Below are 15,414 nucleotides of genomic sequence, written 5' to 3'. Positions count from 1 at the left end.
ACCCAACTTGTATCTTGGCCATAGCCCTCTCTTCTACTCAGGATCTGGTCTGAAACAAATCTCTGCTGATGGAGAAAAAACTCCATCCTTGTGGCAAATGATAGGATTTCCCCTTTTTTGGCCAACTAACCTTCCATTGTCTATCTATACAAGATTTTGCAGAGTGCAAAGATACTTCTTTGACATACTGATTTCCCTTCTTTTGGATAAATACCTAGCAGCAGGATTGCTGGGATCATATGCTGATAACTAATGTCACTTTTTATATGTTCTCTAACACCAACTGGCACCTAGAAATTCTATGCATGTGCCTGGTTCTTTTTTTTTTTTGTCTGAGACAGAGTCTGGCTCTATCACTGAGGCCGGAGTGCTGTGGCGCGATCTCGGCTCACTGCAAGCTCTGCCTCCCAGGTTCATGCCATTCTCCTGCCTCAGCCTCCGTAGTAGCTGGGACTACAGGCACCTGCCACCACGCCCGGCTAATGTTTTTGTATTTTTAATAGAGACAAGGTTTCACCGTGTTAGCCAGGATGGTCTCGATCTCCTGACCTCGTGATCCGCCCGCCTCAGCCTCCCAAAGTGCTGGGATTACAGGCATGAGCCACTGTGCCTGGCTGTGCCTGGTTCTTTCACTCTCTGATTGTCTTAGCAGAATTCCCCTCTCCTTGAACTTCCCATATGTGTCCCTCCTCCTCAGCCTCCTGTCATGAGGCTCCAGCTCCATGTTGTTCTTTTCATATCCCCTTGCTTATGCTCTAATCCAGCTTGTCCCCACCATTTCCCAAGACTGTTCTCATCAATGACATCTGTGTTAGTCCATTCTCATGCTGCTAACAAAGACATACTCAAGACTGGGTAATTTATAAAGGAAAGAGGTTTAAGTGACTCACAGTTCAGCATGACTGGGGAGGCCTCAGGAAACTTACAATCATGGCGGAAAGGGAAGAAAACACATTCCTCCTTACATGGCAGACAAAGGAGAAGTGCCTAGCCAAAGGGGGGAAAAACCCTTATAAAACCATCAGATCTCATGAAAACTCACTCACTATCATGAGAACAGCAGCATGGGGGTAACTGCCTCTGTGATTCAAGTATCTCCTATCAGGTCCCTCCCAGGACATGTGGGGATTATAGAAACTACAATTCAAAATGAGATTTGGGTGGGGACACAGCCAAACCATATCAACATCCTCTTTGCTAACTGTTTCAGTCCTCCTCTGATGAAGTGCACCAGCTGACTTCACAGAGTGCTCTTCTTACTTTGCTTTTCTCCTAGTTTGCTGGCTTCCCCTACAGAAAACGCTTCTCAGAAACTTCCTTATCTCCTTGACTTCTAAGCCTAAAGAGCTCCAGGAACTGAGCAGGCGTGGTGGCTCGCGCCTGTAATCCCAGTATTTTGAGAAGCTGAGGTGGGAGGGTTGCTTGAGGCCAGAAGTTCAAGACCAATCTGGGCAATAATGCAAGACCACCATCTCTCCAAACACACACACACACACACACACACACACACACACACAGTTTTAAAATTAGCAGAGCATGGTGTTGCACACCTGTAGTCCCAGCTATTCGGGATTCCTTGAGCCCAGGAGTTAGAGGTTGCAGTGAGCCATGATTGTATACTGCACTCCAGCCTGTGCATCAGAGGACCCAAACTCAAAAAAAAAAAAAGAATTCCAGGGCTTAGCGGCTCAGCTTTGTACTTCTTTATTTTCTATCTATACCCCTTTGCCAGAGAAAAGCAGTCTCTCATATGGATTTAATAGTATCAGACTATCTATAAAAATATCACTCCCAAATCTCCTCTTTATGATTCATATAATTTCCAGGTAGTAAATGCTGTCAAGCTTTTCAAGCAGAATTTAGACTTCCCGTGTTTTGCCTCTGTGTTTCCCTGTGTAAGCCCAGAAGACAATGTGGACTTTTGTAGTAGGCTGAATAATGATCCTGGAAGATAGCAGGTCCTAATCCCTATGAGGTTATTTTCTATGGCTAAGATTATGCAGGTATGATTAGATTAAGACTGCCCCCCCTACCCTGATCAGAGGATTGTCCTGAATTATTTGGTGGAGGCTCTAAATGTAATCAAAACTGTCCTCATAAGAGAAAGGCACAGATATATTTGAATACAAGTAGAGGAAAATATGATGTGAAGACAGAGATAGAGATTTGAGTGATGTGGCCACAGGCCAAGGAATGCTAGCAGCCACCTGAAGTTGGTAGATGAAAGGAAAAGATTCCCTCTGCCCTATCAACACCGTGATTTCAGCCCAGTGATACTGATTTCAGACTCCTGGATTCCAGAACTGTGCGATAATGAATTTTGGTGGGTTTAAGCCACGTAGTTTGTGGTAATTTATTTCAGCAATAAATTACTAGAAACTAATAACATTTATCTAGGATCTGTGATGGCACAGGAGGGAAGACTGGGGAAAGCTGCAGATGACCTGGAGGACTGAGGATCCGTTATCCCCTGACTGACAATGAGCATTCTGATAAAAATTAGATGTGGCACTAGACTATCAGGGTGAGAAGTTTTCAGTCTGCAGGTTACTATTTAATTTCACTGGGGGCCGTAATAACTTTCTAGATGTATGTATCTTTCAATAGTATATCCTCTGCCTGAAGATAAGATCAGTGATTATACACATATGACAACATTAATGTCACATCTCATTTCACCAGACCAATGTGGTAATTTTCCATGTTGTTTTCATGCACTTAGCAAGATTAATACCACACGCTTTAGGTTTGTTATCCCTCAGTTGTAGTACATATATTAGGTTTTAGTAGCATTTACTAAGAGCCTGGCCATTTCCAGGAGTACAGTAGTTCTCTTTAACTGTAGTTTTACTTTCCACGCTTTTAGCTACCTGAGGTAAAATACAATAAGATATGAGAGAGATAGAGAGATGGGGGAGGAGTGAGAGAGAGAGACCACACTCACATAACTTTCATGAGAATATATTGTTATAACTGTTCTATTTTATTATAGTTATTATTGTTCATCTCTTACTAAAATTAAACTCTATTGTGGGTATGTATGTAGGAAAAAAAAAACACTGCATACAGGGTTCAGTACTAGCTGTGGCTTCAGGCATCCACTGGGAACCTTGGAACGTATTTGCTGTGGTTAACCAGGGACAACTAGATATGAACTAGACCCACCAAGTAACATAAATCCAACAGTGCAACCTATAAACAAAACTGCAAAGTACTGTAAAAATTGGCATGTGCAATACATATCTAAATTCCAGCGGAACAGATCCGAAATAATCTACCAGAAGCAAACTATGAAAGGAGGTAATGTGAGTTCATGACAAGTAACCCAGAGAAGCCATCAAGAAACCTGAGCTCTCCTTTGATATACATTTTCTAACTTACTTGCTGCGTCACTTTAGACTGGTCCCTTAACAACTCTGGGACTTACTTTCCTCACCTATAAAACTTAATTCTAACTATACATTTCCCAAGTCTAACAATCTACGATTCTATCTAAATATTTTGTACAATTGCTGGTACTTATTACTTTTAAAGATTTCTTTTCTATATAAATCATCTTTGTCTTGGCATCACGCAATTAGGGGTTCTGTCAGTGCCCTCAAGTTGGCTTTTCCAACTTAGGCCTAAGTGGAGCTGTCCTCGGGAGCCCTGCCCTCCAGAGGACACGGGATCTCATTGGATTCTCTTGTTCCTGGCCCCAGGGTCTGAATAACATCTCCACCTGATTCTGCTTTTCACAGGAATCTCAGATCCTGGTTTTTAGGTGATACAGAACCCTCACAGTGAATTTCCCCATCACCTTCTGATAGAATTTGGGTAGTTCCCAGAGAGCTAATTATGTCTACAAGGGTTAATTGGAGTAGGTTAACTACACTCTGTTAAAATCAGCATTGAGATTTAAGCCATTTTTGTGGCATGTTCAAATCTCTCTCTGTGTCTCACACACACACACACACACACACACACACACACGCACACACACACACACACATTAGCAGTCCCAGTCAAAACAACTTCCATAATAAAATCTTTAAACATAAATTCTTCCCAAACTGAAATCGGGTATTGACAGCAGAAATACCACCTTCAGTGGTATTTTTATTTCCCAATCTTGTCAGAAGTGCTAGGTATTTTTGTAGTCTCCAATAAAAACCCACTTTTCCTTTGAAGTTTCCATTAAATTCTCTTGGAAGTGTACAAGAAGGAAATGGGTTCTCCACAGATACAGACTTACAGACATACTTTTTCCAGACATATTAGCAGATGGAACAAAATGAAATATGTATAACTGATTAACAGTTCAGAAGGACCACAAGGCACACCATCATATTTGCACAAGGGGAAAAATATCTCTGGATTTTTCTGGTAACAGAAGAGACGTAGTAGAGATACAGGTTAGGTTTATTGAGTTGTGCACTCTTAGATGCCATAGATGGGATAAACTATGAGGAGGAAGTTGATTACACAACAGTGGAGATTATAGAGACCAATGACACTCTTAATTTGATGGAAACGCCAGTCCTCAGCCCTCCCATGCTTAACACAAGGCAGACAGATGCATATCAATCCTACCTATGTAATTCTGGACAAGCTCTTTATCTTTTCTAAGAGGAGCTAAAAAGAACTCCTACAGAATAGAGTTATGTGAAACCGAACCAAGACGTGGGAGGTAGTTCTTAGTGCATGTCTGAACGCAGCAAACACTCCCTGAACAGCAGTGCTTTTGACAGCAGTGGCAGCAATAGCCGTTACCATGCACCAAGCTGGGATCTGAAGGTGTTGTGTGGGAGTGGTAGGGCACAGGGGGAAAACAGACCCACCAGGGTTGGTGCAAAGCCTGAAGATAGGAGAGTAATAGAACTCAGACTTCTTGAAGAAGCCCATTTTGTTTTGAGGTGACTAATTTTTAAAATCTTGACATTATTAAATTTCAAACCTCTGGTTCAAAGGCTTTTCTCTGAGCCAACTAGAGCCAAAAAACAACAACAAAAAAAAACCCGATCCTAAATATATCTAACAGCCATAGCAATTTGGCAATATTGCTCAAGAGCTCTAAGGAGGTATTACATTATGACATGGTAATTCCACCTCTTATACCCTTCACCAAGAAATATTCAAGATATAGATTGAGTTATATGGAAAATGTTTATCTCTGGCACTATTTATAGCAGAGAAAAACTAAAAACTCTCTAAACAGCTTACAATAAAGGAATAGTTAAATTGGTTGTGATACAGTCATAAGATAAAATATATCTATTTAAAAATATTTAAGCACAAAAAGAAATATATAAATAGAAATGTATATATTTATACTAAATCAGTCACTGCTCATTTTTGGATTGTGTAATCTTCGGTAATTTATCTTTCCTTTTTTTTTTTTGAAACGGAGTCTCGCTCTGTTGCCCAGGCTGGAGTGCAGTGGCATGATCTCAGCTCACTGTAAGCTCCACCTCTTGGGTTCATGCCATTCTCCTGCCTCAGCCTCCCGCCACCACACCCGGCTAATTTTTTTGTGTTTTTAGTAGAGACAGGGTTTCACCGTGTTAGCCGGGATGCTCTCCATCTCATGACCTCATGATCCGCCCACCTCGGCCTCCCAAAGTGCTGGGATTACAGGCGTGAGCCACTGCGCCGGGCCTATGTTTCCTTTTATATATGCATTTTGTACTTCCAAAGATTATTTTATTAATATTGCATTTGTTTTTATAAGTGATAAAATTAAGTTGTATAAAATAAGTTTTAAAAATAGAACCGTATTATAAAGTGCTTGATTAACATGTGTTTCTACATTTGTTGAGTGCCTGCTACAGAGGGTTCAGGCCCTCAAAATACCAAAATCAGTGAGGTACTCTACACATCCTCAAAGAGCTCAGAAAGAGATATAATCTTATTTAAAAGTGTTTATCCATTTAGTCACATATGTTTACCAATGCACATCTGTTTAGTGCCAGTATTCACTAGGTCCTTGACAAAATCCACACTTCTGACAAAAAGAAAAAAACACCCTCAGCATCAATAATTAAGGCACTGATGCTGAAAAAAAGAGACTATACAAAAATTATTTTAAATTTATCTGCATAAAGACAATGAATAATATTTCAAATGGCAAATAAAATGTTTTTACAAACAATTATAGGAAATATCATTTAAAATGTTTGCCAAGAATGAGACCCAATTACTAAATGTATTGGAGAATTCTCTAAGATGCATTAACATGTATGATCTAGAGTTCATTGTTATGAATATCTTCATTTCAGGCACATATTAATTAGATTTTCTTATATTTCTTAGTTATAAAACACATTTAATCAATATACTTTTGAGAACAAATTAGCAAAACATTCAATTTGATTATGAAAGGTTATGTTATGTATTTTAAATTTTAATCATTATATATTTCTTATGTTTCTCATCTGTAAATCTTATGATTGCTTTAATATAGCCAAAGGTCAAAGTGAAAGAGCCATAAAATTATTCATGCAGAATATGTGCATCACGGAGGATTTTTGTAGAATTAGACTTAGGGTCTGAAGACAATGAGTCAGATTTTATTCCTTACCATGGTGCCAATTTTAATATAGTGGACTAAGTATTTTTGGAAAAGTTTGCTCACATTAATAAATTGTTGAGTGTTTTGTTCTTCTGCACAGTGGAGCTATATAAGGGAAAAGGTGGACAGAGCTCTGGAAACTTGGTGTCAGGAACAGAATCTCCTTTCTTTCCAATCCCAACTTCCCTATCAAAACAGCTATTGAGGACCATACAAAACAGGGCTCAGTGGAAACTTTAGGGTATGTTGGAGCTTCTGAGAAAAGATTCAGTGTGGGAACTCTCTTTCTGTCCTATGAGGTCTCCAGGACAGTTTGGGAAACCAGGATCAAAAAGGCCTGACAGATGGACTTCTGGTGGGCAGCCCGAGGAGCAGTGTGGACAGCCTCCGTAGTGAAACTGCTGAGAATTAGAAAAATGACAATCTAAAGTTTCTGGAAATGTACCTAAGAACATACAGCAAATGAAAAAATATACATACGTAATTGAAAAAACCTACTCAAATTTGCTAAGAACAGTAAGCACCTGTGGTGTTTGAACCACGGTCCACTCCCTCCTTTCCCCATGCCAACTCAGTATGATGGAAACTCCTCTCCAAATAGGTATAGCCAAGAATACAGGAATCCTCTCCACACAGTTCCAATTGCAGGGCTGTGGTATCTCTTCAGGAGGGGCAGTACATCAAAATTGCTCACTGTGCTCCAGCTACGTATTGCAGAGGCTAAGTTCCAAACAGGCACAGCCAAGAGGTAAGAGCGCCATTCTTCTGCCCTGCCCCAACTTATGGGATAGGGGCTCTATCTTGGGTGTAGTGTTTAGAATATTCTGAGACGCAGATGGCCACCTCTCTGTCCCACTCAGAGAGAAACAAACTGAGAAGACCTGAGGCTTCAGCCACAACTGCCCCATCCCTATACCTAGTTGATTGCTCACTTCCTAAGAAGTGTCAGAGAGAAATGCACTGCTGTCCCTCCGCTCAGCTTAGAGCCCTGACTCAGAGATTTTGCCCCAGGGTAGAGGCAGGCCGTAAAACAGAGCGGTCCACATTTTTTTTCCTAAAGGAACTGCCTGAATTGCAACAGCATGGGAAAGTTAAGCCTAGGAGCACTAAATCAATGGACTGTGTGGCTTAAGGTAATTAAAAGGAAGCTGGCAGGCTATTTAGACATGTAAGCTAAATCCTTATATGGATATTTTACCAGAAGAAATCAGGGAAATAGATAGCTAAGGAAAGACATTCTGTGGCAAAAACAATCTCAAACACAGACCTCAGAAACTCCCCCTACAGGAGCCTGAATTTAGTTGGATCACTCTGTGGAGCAGTATATGCCCTAGGTCCTTATTGAACATAATGGAGCAATCAGCCAGAAATTCATGGAACTTAACAGTTACATGTGGTCAGAAAAAAAAAAGACTATCAAAGATGGCTCTGCCAAAACCATCATTAATCCAGATGACAATGCATATGCCCAAGGTTTCATTTTCAAGGGGAAGGATCAGAAGCTTTATACTGTGGGGATGAGTAGGCTTCACTAAAATAATTAAGGTAGTCACTGAGTGAGTAATAATAAGTCTTAGAGAGGTGGGTGTGAGGGGCAGATATCCAGAATGCAATAATACATTATTTTAAATGTCTGAGATATATACACACACACACACACACACCCATGCACACACACAAACACACACACACACACACATATATATATATTTAGAGATAGACAGATAGATATAGTGATGTAACAGGACAATTGGACATAAACCTGAGAAAAAAAGGTGAGAGTGAATGGGTGTCAGATTTAACAAAGACTTCTAAATAGCCATTATAAATATATACAAAGAACTAAAGAAAACCATGCTCAAAGATATAAAATAATACTTTCTGATGATAATGTTACAACAGTTAAGAAATCTCAATGAAGAGACTGTATTATTTTTAAAAATAGAAATCTTGGAGCTGAAAAGTACAATAACTGAAAAGAAAAATCCAATAGAGGGGCTCAACAGTAGATTTGAACTAGCAGAAGAAAGGATTATTTAACTTGAAGATAGATCAGTGTAGATTATGCAATCTCAGAACAGAAAGAAAAAATAATAATGAAGAGTAATAAAGCAATTTTTAAATTTTAATAAAGTACGACATATCAATTTTTTTACATGAATTGTGCTTTTAGTGTTGCATCCAGAATCTCATTACTAAATCCAAAGTCATTAAGATTTTCTCCTGTGTTTTATTCTAGAACTTTTGTCATTTTTAGCTCTTACATTTAGTTCTTTGTTCCATTTTGAGTTCATTTTTCCACATGCCATTAGGAAAGGGTTTAAATTCATCCAGATATATATTATTATCCAGTTGTACCAACATTATTTATTGAAAATATATGCTTCCCCATTGAATTGCCTTGACATGGCTGCCAGAAACCATTTGATCATATATGCAAAGGTAAATATTTAGACTCTCAGTTCTGTCATATTGGTATATATTTATATACTTATTCTAGTACCACAGTGTTGGTTATTGTAGCTTTGTAATAAGTTTAGAGGTTAGAAAGTATAAGTCCTCCAATTTTGTTTGTTTTAGCTGAAACATTTTGTTTATTCTAGGACTTTTGCATTTTTATATGTGTTTTAGGAATGCCTTGTCAATTTTTACTAGATACTTTCTGGAATGTTTATACGGATAATATTGAATTTATAGATCAGTTTTGAGAATATTGTCATTTTAATAAATTTGAGCCCTCCAATCCATGAATGTTGAACTCCATTCTATTTGATATGCTGCTGCTACTTTGAATGAATTTTTTTAAAATGCCACTGTTGCTACTATACAGAAAGACTATTGATTTTTATATATTAATGTTGCATCCTGTGACATTCGTGAACTTATTATTTTTGTCAAAATATTACCTTTGCCAGTGTTCTTCACTTCTTCTTGCGGTTTCAAGTTATTCTCTCGGTATCATAACCTTTTATTCTAAACAATTCTGTAGAATTTGTTGTAAGGCTATTTTGTTAGAATTTTTTTCTAGCTTTGTTATTTAGAAATGTTTTTATTTTATTTTATTTTATTTTATTTTATTTTATTTTATTTTATTTTATTTTATTTTATTTTATTTTATTTTATTTTTTGAGTCAGGGTCTTACCCTGTCACCCAGGCAAGCTGGAGTGCAGTGGCGCAGTAGTGACTTACCACAGCCTCTACCTCCTGGACTGAAGTGATCCTTCCACCTCAGCCTCCTAAGCAACTGAAATGACAGGTTTGTGCCACTATGCCCAGCTAACTTTTTGATTTTTTGTAGGGTTGAGGTCTCACTTTGCTACCCAGGCCGTTTTTGAAATCTTGGGCTCAAACAGTCCTCCTGCCTTAGCCTCCAAAAGTGTTGGGATTACAGGCATGAGCCACCATGCACTGCTGGAAATGTTTTTATTTCACCTTAATTTTTGTAAGATATTTTCTCTAATAAAAAATTATTGATTGATGGATTTGAAATTTTTTTCAAGCACTTTGAGCACATCATTCCATTGCCATTTTGCCTACATTTCTCCTGATATAAGCTTAGCTACTAATCTCATACCCCTTCTTTCTCATTAAACACTGTCCTGAGAGATAAAATATTTACTATTGGGTATTTTAGGAAAAAGTTTACTTATTCATTTCCAAATGGCGCTAGGCAGCCTGATTCCTGGAGTGAGGAATACATGGAGTAGAACCCCCAATAGCCAAAATGGATATGTAAGATGAGAAAAAAATTAATGTTTGATGATTTAAGTCACTAAGATTTTTGAGTTATATATGATAAATACATACAATTTTATCTATAATTTTAAAAGTTTATTAAAAATATTTTAAAATGTGTACTAAAATTTTTAAAAGGAAAAAAGATTTTGGAGTTGTTTTTTTGCCATAACATAACACAGCCTTTGCAGACTAGTGCAGAAATTGATGAAATTGATACCTAGAAGGAGAATGCTTCCATCGCAAAAATAATAAGTGTTATTTTATTGGGGCTTTTATAGACTATACAAAAACTGGTACCTAGAAGGAAGGTTCTTTCCTAACAAAAATAATAAAATAAATGTTATTGTATTGGGAACAGAGATTAAGGAAGCTTTTCTGAAAGGCTGGGAAAAAATCAATCCCTATATAACAGTGGTAAACAATTGTTAAAAAAAAGTTATATGAGATAATTTTGAAAGTAATAATACACCTAAAATTTATAGCTTTAAGGTTACAATTTGAAATTACAAGTTAGTATAGTATTTATTAGTGACCACTGGCTGCATTTGAAAAGGTATTTTAAGAGAGAGATGAACTCATTAAATAGTTCCAAGCTGAAATGAAAGAGAATAGAGTCTAGAAATTGGAAGATTTTCATGGTTAATAAAATGAAAATCTCCTCAACAAATATCCGTAAAGAAAAACACTGATAAATCTTTTGAGTAAAAAGATGAATTATCTCAATGTTGCCTGGAGAACCAAAATTACTAGAATGACTGACACACTTATTGTTAAAACTTCCCAATGGTATAATTTATTTCAGAATAAAGATCAAAATAAGGTTGTCAAGACCAGTAAAGCCTTTCAATTAGACAAAATGTTCAAGAAAAGTGAAAATGTGGCTGAGCCTGATTAGGTCAAGATACCCCAAATTAGAACATCTTCAGATTGACTTCTTTCACTTAGTAATATACATTTCAAGTTTCTCCATGTCTTGCAGTGGCTTCATAGCTACTTTTTTTTTTTTTTAACACTGAATAACATTCCATTGCTTGGATGTAACACAATTTATTAATTCACCTACTGAAGAATATCTCAGTTCACTTTCAATTTGGCTGATAATGAGTAAAGTGCTAAAAAGATCCAGGTGAAAGTTTTTGGGTGGCCATAAAGACAATTCCTTTGGGTAAATACCAAGAAGCATGATTACGGGATTGTATAGGAAGATGTTCAGTTTTGATAAGAAACTGCCAAACTGTCTTCCAAAATGGCTGTACCATTTTGCCATCCCATCAGTAATAAATGAGAGTTTCTTTTACTCCACATCCTTGCTAGAATTTAGTGTTGTCAGTGTTTTGGATTTTCACCATTTTAATAGGCGTGTAGTGGCAATTCATTGTTGACTTAATTTTTATTTTAGGTTGCAATTCTTTAATGGTATATGATATTGAACACCTTTTTATATGCCTAAATGCCATCTGTATATCTTTTTTGGTGAAGTGTCTTTTAAGGTCTTTTGCCCGTATTTCAAATCAAGTTTTCTTTTTGGTGTTACTGAGTTTTAAGGTTTTGTTTTTTCTATACTTTGAATAACAGTCTTTTATCAGCATGTCTTTTGCAATTTTTTTTTTTTTTTTTTTTTTTTTTTTTTTTGGTCTGTGGCTGGTCTTCTCATTCTCTTGACATGGTTTTTCACAGAACAGAAATTCCAGATTTTAAAGAAGTCCTTAATTGTTTCTTTTTTGTATCATGCCTAAAATATCACAATATCCAAGGTGATCTAGATTTTCTGCTGTTATCTTCTGAAAGTTTTATAATTTTATATTTTACATTTAGATCTAGGATCCATTTTGAGGTAATTTTGTAAAGTGTGTCAGGTCTGTGTCTAAAATCTTTTTTAATACGGATGTGCAGTTGTTTCAGTACCATTTGTTGATAAGATTATCATTGCACTATTATATTGCCTTTGCTACTTCGTCAAAGATCAATTAATAATATATATGTGGGTCTATTTCTGACCTCTCAATTCTGTTCCTTTAATCTATGTGTCTATTATTTCACCAATGCCACACTTCTTAATTATTCTAGCTTTATAGGTAAGTCTGGAAGTTACATAGTTGCAGTCCACACTGACTTTGTTCTTCACCTTCAGTATTGAGTTGGTTAGTTTGGGTCTTTTGCTTCTCCATATAAACTTTGGAGTCAATTTAACAATATCCACAAAATAACTCCCTGGAATTTTTGTTGGGACTACATTGAAACTATAGATTAGTTGGGAATAACTGAGATCTTGACGACAATATTTAGGCTTTCTATCCATGAACACAGATTATCTCCTCATTTTTGTTTTGTAAATTTCTTTTTTCAGGTTTTTATGAGATTTTTAAAATATAGATCTTCTGCATCTATTTTTTAGATTTTTACTTTATTACAAGTAAAATTCATTTTTAAATACATATTTCATTTTTAGAGCTAATGTAAATGGTATTCTGTTTTTAGTATTTTTTAAATCAAACTTTTATTTTAGATACAGGGCACACTGTGCAGGTTTGTCACATGTTGTATGGACATATTTCTTTCAGGTAATGAGCATAGTACCCAAAAGGTAGTTTTTCAACCCATTCCTCCCTTGCACTCCCCACCACCCATAGTCCACAGTGTCTCTGGTTGCCACATTTATGCTTTTGTGTGCTCAATGTTTAGCTCCTACTTACAAGTGAGAATATGTGACACTTGGTTTTCCATTTCTGCATTAATTCTCATTATGGCCTCCAGCTTCATTCATGGTGCTACAAAGAACGTAATTTTATTCTTTTTTATGGTTATGTAGTACTCCATGGTGTGTATGTACCACATTTCCTTTATCCAGTGAAGGACTGATTGGTTCCTAGGTAGATTCCAAATCTTTGCTATTGTGAATAGTGCAGTGATGAACATGCATGCACGTGTATACATCTATTTGGTAAAATGATCTATTTCCTTTTCGATATATACCCAGTAATGGGATTGCTGTGTCAAATGTAGCTCTGTTTTAAGCTCTTTGAGAACTCTCCAAATTGCTTTACACAGTGGCTGATCTAATTTACATTCTCAGCAATAGTGTATAAGCATTCCCTTTTCTCTGCACCCTCACTAGCATTTGTTGTTTTTTGACTTTTTAATAATAGCCATTCTGACTGGGTCTGAGATGGAGTCTCGTTATGGTTTTCATTTGCAGTTCTCTGATGGTTAGCGATGATGAGCATTTTTTAAATGTATTTGTTGGCCACCTGTGCGTCTTATTTTGAGACATGTATGCTCATGTCCTTTGCCCATATTTTTAAAATGGGCTTATTTGTTTTGGGCTTGTTAATTTGTTTAAGTTTCTTATAGATTATGAATGTTAGACCTTTGTTGGATGCATAGTTTGTGAATATTTTTCTCTTATTCTGTGGGTCATCTGTTTACTCTATGAATAGTTCTCTTTACTATGGAAAGCTCTTTAATTAGGTCTCACTGTTTAATTTGTTGTTGTTGTTGCAATTGTTTTGGGGGACTTGGCCAAAAATTCTTTGCTGAGGTTGATGTCAAGAAAGGTGTTTCCTAGTTTTTCATCTACGATATTTATAATTTGAGGTCTTACATTTAAATATTTCATCCACCTTGAGTTAATTGTTGTCTATGGTAAATGTAAGGGTTGAGTTTTATTCTTCTGTATATGGCCAGCATCATTTATTTAATAGGGAGTCCTTTCCTTATTACTTGTTTTTGTTGGCCTTGTTGAGGGTCAGATGCTTGTAAGTGTGCAGCTTTATTTCTGAGTTTTCTACTCTGTTCCATTGGTCTATGTGTTGGCTTTTGTAACAGTACTGTGCTGTTTTGGTCCTAATAGTATAGTTTGAAGTTGGGTAGTGTGATGATTCCAGCTTTGTTCCTTTTGCTTAGGATTGGTGTGGCTATCAAGCTCTTTTTGGGTTCCATATGAATTTCAGAATTTTTTTTTCTAATTATGTGAAGAATGACATTGTTAGTTTGATAGGAGTAGCACTGAATCTGGAAAATTGCTTTGGGCAGGATAGCCATTTTAATGATATTTGCTCTTCCAATCCGTGAGCATGGAGTGTTTTTAGTTTGAAATCCACTTGTTCATTGCTGGTATGTAGTATAGCAACTGACTTTTGTATGCTAACCTTATATCCTGAAATCTTCCTATAATCACTTATTAGTTCCAAGTGGGATTTTTTTTGTAGACTTAAACTTATTCCTAGGTATTTTATTCTTTTTGATACCATTTTCTGCTGTTGGATGAAATGTTCTGTAAATGTTATTTGGGTCCATGTTGTTGCTTAAGCCTCCTGCTTCCTGATTGATTTTCTGTCTGGGTCATCTACCCATTATTGAAAGTGGGTTATTGAAGCCTCCAATTCTCTATTGTATTGCTGTATAGTTCTTCCTTCAGTTCTGTTAATATTTGCTTCATATATTTTGGTGCCCTGATGTTGGATGCTTATATATTTACAGTTGCTATATCCTCTTGATAAATCGACCACTTTATTGTTATATAATTACCTCCTTTTTCTCTATTGATAGTTTTTTTTTTACTTAAAATCTACTTTGTCTGATATAAGTATAGCCATTTCTGCTGCACCTGGTTATCATTTGCATGTGATATCTTTGTCCCTTGACTGTCAGCCTATGTGTGTCCTTAAAGCTAAAGTGAGTCTCTTGTATACACCATATAGTTGGTTCTTTTTTTCTTATCCATTGAGCCACTGCATTTCTTTTTATTGAAGAATTTAATCCATTTACATTTATAGTAATTAATGATAGTAAGGACTTATTACTGCTATTTTGTTAATTGTTTTCTGGCTGTTTGTAGCACCTTCATTCCATTGTTCATTTCTTGCTGTCTTTCTCTGTAATTTGATGATTTTTTTTTTGTATGGTGTGCTTTGATTTCTTTCTCTTTCTCTTTTGTGTATCTACTACTGTTCTTTTTTTGTGGTTACCATGAGGTTTTTCATAAAACATCTTATAATTATCCTGTTTTATGTCAAAGATGTCACAAATTACATCTTTTATACATTGTATATTCATTAATAAATTATTGTAGCTATAGTTACTTTTACTTATTTGGAAATAACAAATATTTATTATTTCTCATGAT

Source organism: Homo sapiens, chromosome 15, assembly GCF_000001405.40.
Source record: "Homo sapiens chromosome 15, GRCh38.p14 Primary Assembly".
In the NCBI taxonomy this organism is placed as follows: domain Eukaryota; kingdom Metazoa; phylum Chordata; class Mammalia; order Primates; family Hominidae; genus Homo; species Homo sapiens.
This window is presented reverse-complemented; position numbering follows the sequence as displayed.